This window comes from Homo sapiens, chromosome 1 (assembly GCF_000001405.40).
Source record: "Homo sapiens chromosome 1, GRCh38.p14 Primary Assembly".
NCBI classification, from domain to species: domain Eukaryota; kingdom Metazoa; phylum Chordata; class Mammalia; order Primates; family Hominidae; genus Homo; species Homo sapiens.
The window spans coordinates 16874207-16885649 of NC_000001.11; the positions used below are offsets into that span (position 1 = coordinate 16874207).

The 11443-nt window shown below is 44.4% G+C and overlaps 3 annotated features.

Annotated features, from left to right (window-relative positions):
• Positions 445–1008: an enhancer, noted in NCBI's record as "H3K27ac-H3K4me1 hESC enhancer chr1:17201146-17201709 (GRCh37/hg19 assembly coordinates)". NCBI's record gives its function as "activates a minimal SCP1, AML or CMV promoter by ChIP-STARR-seq in primed H9 embryonic stem cells {active_cell/tissue: H9 hESC(primed)}" and the evidence as "EXISTENCE:reporter gene assay evidence [ECO:0000049][PMID:30033119]".
• Positions 845–1003: a silencer, noted in NCBI's record as "fragment chr1:17201546-17201704 (GRCh37/hg19 assembly coordinates)". NCBI's record gives its function as "represses an EF-1alpha promoter that drives an FKBP-Casp9 reporter gene in an ReSE screen in phorbol 12-myristate 13-acetate-treated (for megakaryocytic differentiation) K562 erythroleukemia cells {active_cell/tissue: K562(+PMA)}" and the evidence as "EXISTENCE:reporter gene assay evidence [ECO:0000049][PMID:32094911]".
• Positions 1009–1571: an enhancer, noted in NCBI's record as "H3K27ac-H3K4me1 hESC enhancer chr1:17201710-17202272 (GRCh37/hg19 assembly coordinates)". NCBI's record gives its function as "activates a minimal SCP1, AML or CMV promoter by ChIP-STARR-seq in primed H9 embryonic stem cells {active_cell/tissue: H9 hESC(primed)}" and the evidence as "EXISTENCE:reporter gene assay evidence [ECO:0000049][PMID:30033119]".

Genomic DNA, 11443 nt, shown 5'->3' on the forward strand with positions numbered 1-11443 from the left:
CAGTATGGCGCTGTGGGGCCAGGGGTAAACCCTGCTTTCCGGCTTTCTGGCTGCAGATAAAGGCCTCAGCTGGTGCAGGAATCAAAAGCAAACCAAAAGACACGTGGGTTCGCCCCAGTGGGTCCAAGATAGAGTCTGACTGTACCAGGATTCCGATTAGAACAGAGGTTGCTGCAGGCACAACGCAGACTACTAACCACTAGAGAATCCCAAGGCGCCCCACACCTACTGCCCGTCGTTTTGCTTCCCCACCCCTCTATTATTTATTTGTATATTTTTTTGAGAGACAGAATTTCGCTTTGTCGCCCAGGCTGGAGGGCAGCGGCACGATCTCGGCTCACTGCTACCTCCGCCTCTTAGGTTCAAGCGATTCTCCTGCCTCAGCCTCCTAAGTAGCTGAGACTACAAACGTGCACCACCACGCCCAGCTAATTTTTGTATTTGTGGTAGAGACGAGCTTTCACCATGTTGGCCCGGCTGGTCTCGAACTCCTGACTTCAAGTGAGTGATCCACCCACCTCGGCCTCCCAAAGTGCTGGGATTACAGGCGTGAGCCACCGCCCCTGGTCCCCCGATTTTTTTTATTAATGTAAAAACATTATGCGATTTTTACTTCTTTATTCTTGGGCAGCTACAGGTTCTTGTGATTTTCTCTCACATCTTCTCCCCATTTCCCCCTCTCCATTCTGATACATGTCCCATCTTCTCTGCATCCAGCCGGTGCCCTCTGCACGGGCATCCTGGGCTGTCCCATTGTCTAGTCCTGGTCTCCCCTGCTTCTCCCTCCTCCTTGTCACGTTTTCCCTTTTGACTCCCCTGCCTCTTTCCCGCTCCCGCCCCACCGACCCCATCTACTGAAGCCGAGTTGAGTGAAGGGAGAGCAAGCGGAACAGATGATTGCCTGAAGGCGGCGCAAAAGAACAGAAAGAGCTACCGTGAGAGCCGTCGGGGAGTTCAGCTTCCCTTGGGCCCTACTTGGCTCAGGCTGGGGTCGCAGATCCAGGCATTTCCAGAGGCACTGGCTTCTGAAGCAGGCGAGGGTGAACGCAGGGTGAAGGCCATTCGGCCGCCCTTCTGGCTTCAGAGTCACGCAATGCACGCGTTTCTAACGTGCAGCAAGACGATTAGTCGACTCAGCCTCTCCGGTTTTCTGAAGCTTTGTAGTCTGCACAGTTGTCCCGCAGAAAGCGAATGGCAACTCCTAGGGTTTAGTGATTGCTTAATCTATATAGAGATGAAAGCAAGCGATTGAGGTTGTCTCTGTGGTGCAATCGGTTAGCGCGTTCGGCTGTTAACCATAAGGTTGGTGGTTAGAGACCACCCAGGGACGTGATTTTAAATGTTGGTTGTGACCAGGCGCAGTGCCTCACGTCTATTAATCCCAACGCTTTGATAGGCTGAAGTAGGGGAAGCCTCCACGGAGCTCAGAAGTTCAAGACCAGTGAGAATCCCACCTCATTTAAAAAAAAAAAAATGCAGTTGTATCTATCTCCTCAGACCCTTCAATGTATTTAAAAGTGAAAGACTGTTCCCTTGTGTCTTGTGCATCCCATGAGGACAGACAGCAGAAGGTCCCCCTCCAAGCCTCCTAGAAAATGAGATCTCTGCAGAACAAACTAGCTTGTATGTACGGGAAACGGAAAGTATTTGAAGGAACAAACTTCAAAAATTCTGCCTTGCTTTCCACAAAAATTAACCCATCACAGTCTGCCTTCAAGTGGCATCATACCTCTTCCCATGACTCCTCCCCCTGCCTTTATGCTATTGTCATGCATTTTACTTTACACCTGTTATAAACCTTACAATCCATCTCTATTACTTTTGTTTCAAGAGTCAGATGTGTTTTTGTTTGTTTGTTTATTTTTGTTTTTTTGTTGCTGGTGGTGGTGTTTTTAAGACGAGTCTCACTCTATCGGACAGGCTGGAGTGCAGTGGCACAGTCTTGGCTCACTGCAACCTCTGCTTTCCGGGTTCAAGCGATTCTCCTGACTCAGACTCCTGAGTAGCAGAGACTACAGGCTTGGGCCACCATATCGGACTAATTTCTGAATTTTTAGTAGAGAGGAAGGTTCACCATATTGGCCAGGATGGTCTCAAACTCCTGACCTCAAGTGATCCACCTTCCTTGAATCCCAAAGTGCTGGGATTCCAGGCGTGAGCCATCGTGCCCGGCTAAACAGTCAGATGTTAAAATTATATATTTGCCTATGTACATGTCATTTCTAGTGTCTTTTTTTTTTCATCCAGATTTTCATCTGGTGTCAGTTTCCTTCTGCCTGGAGGACTCCTTTAACTTGTCTATTAGGTGTCTTAAACTTGCACTGTCATTCACTGATGCTCTGTTCATTTAAAAAAAAACTTGTTGGCCGGGTGCGGTGGCTCACGCCTGTAATGCCAGCACTTTGCGAGGCCGAGGTGGTAGATCAGGAGGTCAGGAGATCGAGACCATCCTGGCTAACACGGTGAAACCCCGTCTCTACTAAAAATACAAAAAAATTAGCTGGCTGTGGTGGCGGGCGCCTGTAGTCCCAGCTACTCAGGAGGCTGAGGCGGGAGAATGGTGTGAACCCAGGAGGCGGAGCTTGGAACCTGTCAAAAGGCATTCTTAGCCTTAAAAGAAAAGCCAGGGACATCCCTTGCCTCAGGACTCTCGAACTTAGAAAAACCTTTCACCCTCTATGTGGATGAATAACAAGGGACAGCTTCAAATGTTCTAATTCAAAGGCTGAGGAATTGCTTTGGACCAGTGGCTTATTTCTCTAAACAGCTAGACCAGGTGGCAGCTAGGTGACTAGGAAGCTTGAGATCTGTGGCTACCATCACTTTATTGTTAGAAGAAACCAGTAAGTTTACCTTGGGACAAAAATTACATGCCATACCACCCCACCCCCACCCCCTGCCACCCCATGAAGTACAGTACAGAGGGTCCTAGAGGCAAAAGTACACCAATGGCTAACAGGGAGCCAGTTACTTAAATATCAGACCCTTCTGCTTGACACCCCAGATGTTACCCTGAAAGTATCCTGATTTTGAAACCCTGCTACTCTGTTGCTGCACCTCACATCTCAAGAAACAGATCCCAAACTCATTGACTCCTGTGTGGAAACCACGGAAGAGCTCTACTCTAGAAGGCCCAACCTTGAAGACAAGCTGTTGTCTAACCCAAATGTTGAGTGGTTTAGAGATGGAAATAGCTATATTCATGAGGGAGTAAGAAAGGAAGCTTAGCCAACAAGAAGTCATTGAGGCCAAGGGTTTACCTTCTCAGACTTCTGTTCAAAAAGCAGAATTAGCTGCTCTAATTAGGGCCTTCCAACCATGAAAAGACTTAAGCTGGACACGGTGGCTCACGCCTGTAATCCCAGCACTTTGGGAGGCCAAGGTGGGTGGATCACCTGAGGTTGGGAGTTCGAGACCGGCCTAGCCAACATGGCGAAACCCCGTCTCTACTAAAAATACAAAAATTAGCCGGGTGTGGTGGGGTGCGCCTGTAATCCCAGCTACTTGGGAGGCTGGGGCATGAGAATCCCTGAGTTTGCAGTGAGCTGAGATTGCAGTGAGCTGAGATCATGCCACTGCACTCCAGCCTGGGCGACACAGCAAGACTCCGTTTCAAAAAAAGAAGAAGAAAACCAAAACCTCAAGAGTCAATGTGTTGACTGACTCTAAATATGGGTTCCTGGTGCTCCATGCTCATGCAGCCATAGGGAAGGAAAGGGGACTATCAAGAGCCAAGGGATCCCCCACACAACTTTACTCAGATCTTGGAACTTTTAGATGCTGTCCAACTCCCAAAGAAATAACAATTACTCACTGCAGGGGACACCAGAAGGGAGACACTTTTATTATTAGAGGAAATTCCCTGGTGGAAAGAGCAGCTAAGGCCACAGCTAAGGAAACCCTGGTATTTCAGGCTGCTGCGCTACTACCAGGTACTGCATCCGTGTCAGTGACACCATACTATACCCCTAAGGAAATTAAAGGGACTGAGTAAAAGGCTTCCAGGGAGACCCCTCTGGATGGTTGCTAGAAAAGAACAAACTCTATTCCTGAGGCTGACAAATGGGAAATAATTAAACATTTTCATGATTCCTCACATTTGGGACAGGATTTTCCATTTAAATTAGTTTCCTAAATATTCTTGCGGAAGGGACTGTTCCAAACTATAAAAAGGGTTACCACTCAGGAAGCCACCCCATACCCCGATCCCTGCTTAAACCTGTACAACACCAAGGAACATACCATGGTGAAGACTGGCAGACAGACTTAACCCAGATGCCACCTTACAGGGGAGTACAAGATTTGCTAGTATTTATAGACACTTTCACCAGGTGGATAGAAGCTTTCCCCACAAGGACAGGAAAAGTACTGGAAGTGTCTAAATTCTTAAAGAAATCATTCCAAGATTTGGATTACCAAAAGGTTTGCAAGGTGACAACTGACCTCACTTCACAGCTAAGGTGACCCAGTGAGGTCATGCCTCAGCCTTAGGCATTACCTATCTTCACTCCTCATGGAGATCTCAGTCTTCAAATAACATAGAAAGCCAATCGCGACATTAGCAAAACTCTTTCAGTTTGGGGGCTTGCCTGCCCTGCGTCACTATCATTGTTTCCTTGGGTTTCCCAGGAATGTACATGTGTCAGACTGCCGCCCTGCTTATAGATCTGTTTCCCTGCAAGGAAACAGGAATATGTTGCCTGTGGCTTCCAGAGTTGGAGATACATGTAGTTGCACCCCTGAGGGCTAACATTTAATTTTGGAATCAAGTGATGCATTCAGACTGGTTGTTATCATTCTGTGGTATATATTTAGTGAACACATTCTGATTGAGTTTCCTGCTTTTAGCTGGAGCAAGAAAGTTTAATAATTGTGATTTGTATGAAAAAAATCATAGGCAAGGGAATGGGTGTAAAATAAACTTTATTGTCAGAGGTTTCTAAAGGCTCATCCTTCAAGGAAAACGGACATATGCTGAAGAGCTGATAAACCGTCTACAGCAGTGTTATTCTAAGCTAATCTTGATTCCAAGTTCTTGCCATTTTCCTCCAGCTGCTGTTGACTCCAGTTATATATAGGATGGGGGAAAGGGGATTATCTATGAATGTAGGCATCACTCTCTCTTGGGCAGTTATCACATTGGCAGACTGAAGGGATGTGATTTCTACAGTCAAACTATCCATTTGGAGTACAAATCTGGAGTGGCTGTAAAATTCGGTTCTCAGAGATGAACTTGCAGATTCAGACTTTCAATTGTTCTGTTGTTTTAGTTTTTCTCATCAACTGGGGAACTGTTTGTGACTAAGCTTTGTTAAAAGTAGAGAAGAGTTTTTCATAGTTCCAACATTAGTTGTTACCCGAAACAAACAAAAACACACACACATACAATTAAACAATAATCTTTGGTGAGGTCTTGCTGATACCTGAGGCTGGAGTGAGAGCTGACTGGTGATACAGGCCAGGTGCAAACTGAGTGCAACTAAGTGGATAATCTCCAGTAGTGAACTACAGTCTAGAAGAAGATAGTAATAATAGATTAAAAAAAAGTCTCCTGAAGTGAACCAGCTGGCGTGTGGTGTAGGACACAGGACCCCACCCACCTTATGATTCTAAGAGCCTTGCTCAAAGCCACTGCAGTTGAGTTCGCTAGGTCTCTACCACCTCCTCAGCATCAATTGACTCTCCATAATACTCCTCTGGAGAGAAATAAGGGTCTTTCAACCTCCCAGGAAGGGATTTGCTTAGCCTCAAATATGCACATTCAGGAATAGCTTGTCGTAAGAAAGAGAGGATAGTTTGCAGAGAAATAACCCTCCTAAGTCCACATCCTATTCCTTTTAAATAAGAGAGTGGTGACAAGGGAAGAGCCCTAGAATGTCAAAGCCAACAGGGTGCTCAGATACCACCCAAGTACAGTTCCATCTTTGGCCATAAGGAGACAATGGTGTCAAGAGGTTAAGGCCGTATGATCTGTAGGTGAAAAATCTGGGATGGGAATCAAGTCCTCAAACCTTTTCCACTACATCACAGAGTTTAGGAGCAGTTAGAGGGAAGGCTTCAATCTGGAGAACACTAACAGGCTCTAGAGATTATTGGGTCATGGTGGCTGGGACAGAAATAAGGATTCACAGAAAGATGTTTATAGTAAATGTTCTTTTGGGATTTTGCTTGATAAAAAGGCTGAGCAAAAGTAAAAATTTATTTCTTTTCTTTTCTTTTTTTTTTTTTTTTTTGTTTAGACAGTTTCACTCTTGTTTCCCAGGCTGGAGTGCAATGGTGCAACCTCAGCTCACCACAACCTCCACCCCCTGGGGTTCAAGCAATTCTCCTGCCTCAGCCTCCCAAGTAGGTGTGATTACAGGCATGCACCACCACGCCCAGCTAATTTTTTTTTTTTTTTTTTTTTTTTTTAGTAGAGACAGGGTTCCTCCATGTTGGTCAGGCTGGTCTCAAACTCCCAACCTCAAGTGATCCTCCCAAAGTGCTGGGATTACAGGCTCCAGCCACCACACCCGGCCAAAAGTAAAAATTTTCTAATTGCAATTCTGAACCACTTAGGGGTTGTGAAATCAATATAGTGGACTGCTTATTACTACAGGCTTTATTTAAATTCTAGGTAGGGTGGATTACACATAGTAAAAGATTTTTTAAAAACTGATCACAGGACAGGCGCGGTGGCTCATGCCTGTAATCCCAGCACTTTGGGAGGCTGAGGCAGGTGGATCACGCGGTCAGGAGATTGAGACCATCCTGGCTAACACGGTGAAACCCCGTCTCTACTAAAAATAAAAAAAAAAAAAATTAGCTGGGCATGGTGGTGGGTGCCTGTAGTCCCAGCTACTCAGGACGCTAAGGCAGGAGAATGGTGTAAACCCGGGAGGGCGGAGCTTGCAGTAAGCCAAGGTCACGCCAATGCACTCCAACCTGGGCAACAGAGCAAGACTCCATCTCAAAAAAAGAAAAAAAAAAACTGATCACAAAGAATTGTATATTTCTCACTGCGTCTTGTGGTCAGAAAAGTTTGAGAAACTACTCTACATAGGCAAATTACAGGTCCAATCTCTCCATCTACCTCTTTATCTCTTCTCTATTTCCACGCTATGCAGACAAGACCACGGAGAGAGGAAGGCAAATTCCATCAATGGGTGCTGTTAAGCCTTTTCTATGAGGTAGCTGCACATTTGGGGCACTTCAATACTGGTTACTTGAGATTCTAGTAGACAGATTGTCCTTTTCATCTCTAGCCACATGGTAAAATTACTTGGGAGCTTTTTAAGACTACTAGTGGCTTCCACCCACCTGGAAGCATTTAAATCAGAATCTCTATGTGTAGAGTCCAGGCACTTGTGTTAGTTAAAACCTCACCAGGCTTTATAATATGACAGAGTGGTTTAAAGCTACGGAGTAGACCCACCCTATTTCCTACCTTTCTCTTTGTTTCTCTTTCACCATAGGCTTCTTTCCCATGAGAAAGTAAAGATTTTAGTCTCTGTTTTCAGAGTCTCAAGTAAATCACTCTCTTTCTCAACTGGACTTCCAAGGCAAAGATTTCTTTCTATTTATCTATCTGCATTTTTACAAAGTTGGCCTCTGGATTCCCTTTTCCCAAACCTAATTCACCACAAAGGTGCCCCTCAAGTCAAGGAGCTGGGCTTTCATACACCTGCACCTGTCAATCATGGTAAATATTTTGCAGGCAGGGTTGCTGGGTGCTGTGGGATTGACGTAAACTCCCAGGTATTGCCAGCTCTGAGCCTCAGGCAAGCTTGTGACTAAATGACTCCAGTAGTCTGAGGATAGTCCTTACTCAGAAGGGTCTTTGGAAGCAAAAGCAAACATAGGCATGAGAGGGTAAAAAAAAAAAAAAAAAAAAAAAAAAAAATCTCATGTCATCTTGGCTTATACCTAACAGAACTTGTGCAAGAATGGATATTAAGGTGGGTATTGTACAGAGCAGAACTTAATAAATACCAAGTCTGGAGTTTAAGGGATAGGCTGAAGAGATTTTGCAGGCTTGTAAACATTTTTGCCAACTTGAACACACTTTTGTTTGGGTTTGGTTTTTCTCCTCATTGGTAAGAGCTACGCACAATAGGGTAGCTAAGATATTATAATTTGAATCGATACATTTGTATTTTGCCAAGGATCAAGATGAACTATGATGATTTCCATTTTTTAGTACTTTATTTTCATCAGTTTGAAAATTAGGACTTTTGCTCCTTTTTTGGCTTGTGGCACCTTTTTGGTTTTCACACTTTCTCAAAGACCAGTAACTTAGAATCTAAATTATGATTGCTTATTCTTTCAGTACTCTAGGGGAAAGTTGATTTAATCTTGACAAAATGTATTCAGTTAAAATAATTGTTCTCTTAAATCTTTCTTTCTTTCTTTCTTTCTTTTTTCTTTTTTTGGAGATGGAGTCTTGCTCTGTCACCCAGGCTAGTGTGCAGTGGCACAATCTTGGCTCACTGCAACCTCCGCCTCCTGGGTTCAAATGACTCTCCTGCCTCGGCCTCCCGAGTAGCTGGGCCTATAGGCGCATGCCATCACGCCCGGCTAATTTTTGTATTTTTAGTAGAGATGGGGTTTCACCATGTTGTTCTCTTAAATCTTTTCACCTTTTAAGTTTGTCCTTCCTTTCTCCAATTTGCAATAGGGGAGTGTGGCTCGCAGCTAAATAGTAGACTTCTCAGAGCTACTTATTCCTGGAGCCTGGCAGTCTGCAGGCCTGGAGGGGGAGCATCTAGAAAGCAGCCCTCTCTAAGTTGAGAATAACTATGAGAATTGTGGGTTATAAGGCTTTGAGCAGCTCTGGCCTCCCCGTCCTCTTTTGTTTCTACTGTGGGATGTGACAAGAGAAGGAACTCATCTGAGAGAGACTTCATATTGTGGCCTTTCACCGATTACTTCTGGAAATTTGATTCAGGCAAGCCAGGGAGAGTGTCTGGTATTCTTCTCTGAGAAGAAGAATTCATTATACAGCTGGACAATGGAATCTATGATCTGCCTGTAGAGGTTAGAGGTGCATCCTGTTCCGGGAAATAATTACAATTTAGGCAAGTTATACATGTTTGCTTAAGAGAATGCTTTCTGCACATTTCATGTTCTTCCTTTCTATCTTAGCCTAGGGAGAAAACCGTGGGGACTCAGGGCTGGAACTTTAGTGTGATGGGGCAGAAGCTTAATTTTCACATGATTCTCAACAAATGGCAGCATATCCCATGTATTATCATGTCCAATGGCTGCAATATGAAGGAGGCTTTTCCGAAATAGTTGCTGCTTTGGTAAAAAATTAACTAGATGGATTCAAAGTCAAATTTGAAGAAAGCTGAGCAGGCAGAAGAAACAATCAGTGAACCTGAAGATAAGGCAATGGAAATCATCCAGTTTGAGGAACAGAAATAAAAAAAGATTGAAGAAAAGTGAACAGAGCCTAAGTGACCATCAAGTGGACCACCATGTACATTGTGGAAGTTCTTTTTTGTTGTTGTTGTTTTGGGGGGTGGGAGGGGGGAAGGAGTTTCATTTTTGCTGCCCAGACTGGAATGCAATGGCGCTATCTCAGCTCACCGCAACCTCTGCCTCCTGGTTTCAAGCAATTCTCCCACCTCAGCCTCCCAAGAGGCTGAGATTGCAGGCATGCACCACCATGCCTGGCTAATTTTGTATTTTTAGTAGAGACGGCATTTCTCCATGTTGGTCACGCTGGTCTCAAACTCCTGACCTCAGGTGATCCTCCCGCCTCGGCCTCCCAAAATGCTGGGATTACAGGCATGAGCTACTGCTCCCAGCCTTGCATTGTGGAATTTCTAAAGAAGAGGGAGAGAAGGGCAATAGAGAATATTTGAAGAAATCATGGCTGAAAACTTCCCAAATTTGATGAAAGACATGAATACAAACACAGTAGCCTAACAAACTCCAAGTAAGATAAACCTAAAGAGACCTACACCAAAACGCATTATAATCAAACTTTCAAAAGTCAAAGAGAATCTTTAAATTGGTAAGAGAAAAGCAACTGGTCACATGCAAGAAATCTTTAATAAGATTATCAACAGATTTCTCATCAGAAACTTTGGAAGCTGGAAGGACAGGAAATCAAAAGCTGCCAACAACCAGGAGGGGTGGCTCATATCTATAATCCCAACACTTTGGGTGGCTGAGGCAGGCAGATCACTTGAGGTCAGGAGCTCAAGACCAGCCTGGCCAACATGACAAAACCCTGTCTCTATTAAAAATACAAAAATTAGCCAGGCGTGGTGGTGGGTGACTGTAATCCCAGCGACTTGAGAGACCAAGGTGGGAGAATCACTTGAACCTGGGAGGCGGAGGTTGCAGTAAGCCAAGATCTCGCCACTGCACTCCAGCCTGGGTGATAGGGTGAGACTCTGTATTAATAAACAAACAAACAAACAAAAGCTGCCCGTGAAAGGGAAAAGGATCAATAAATGGGTATTCCAAAAAGTCAAAAGTCACACAAATATCAAGCCAAAATAAACTGGTTTCCTGACTGGAAATCGACCCCAGGCTATGGCAGCAAAACACAGAACTTTAAGCACTGAACTGCAAGGTAGAGCAGACTTTATTGTGCATCCTGGAAGGGATCCAGAGCAGGCAGTTTGAGCTTATGAAGAATTTTAACTTTGTTTCGGGTCAAATTTTGCTCTTTAATTTAGTTAAGAGAATTTTTTTTCCCTACACAACACACATAATATTGTCAAGAGAATTTTTAAGGGTAGCCATGACACTATTATGTGTGTTTGTTTTAATTTGATCTTCCTATGAACTGTTAAAATAAGAGATCTCTAAAATCTTTTTTTTTTTTAATTCAGGTGTCTAATTTAAGGGATCCATCTTCAGGCCATTGGCAAGTAGAATTTCCAATGGTGTAATTATTGCAATAGCAATTCAACCAAATAGCCCCTTTGTGGAAAGCCCAGGATGTCATTTTCCAGGTTAACCTCCTGGGAAGGGCAAAGAAGAAGCAATCCCAAAGATTCCCCTGCAAGAAAAAAGTTCAATGCAAGGAGTAGACCACAGATGGGTAAGGATGATGTTGGCCTCCAGTAACCCAGATATTTATGGGGGCTTCCAGTCACAGACCTCTGAATCTATAATACCAGGTAGGCCCTCTTGGGATTGAGCTTTCCTAGGACTAACCAGGCAACAAGAATTGAGATGACAAAAGCCTCAAAGGGATGGGACTTCTTAAGACAAACCCCAAGAGCTTGACATGGTCAGAACAAAAAGTGTGCTGGGGTTCCCAGCCATTTTCAGACAGGCCACCTAGTATGACCTGATAGTTACTGCCTCTTTCCAGATAGTGGAAACCAAGAGAAAGCGCTCCCACTTGCTCACAAGTCAAGCTCTCAAGGACATAAAATAAGATGAGAAGGAACCTCAACCGGTACCCCCTTTTATGACAGAATAACACATAGAGACAAAG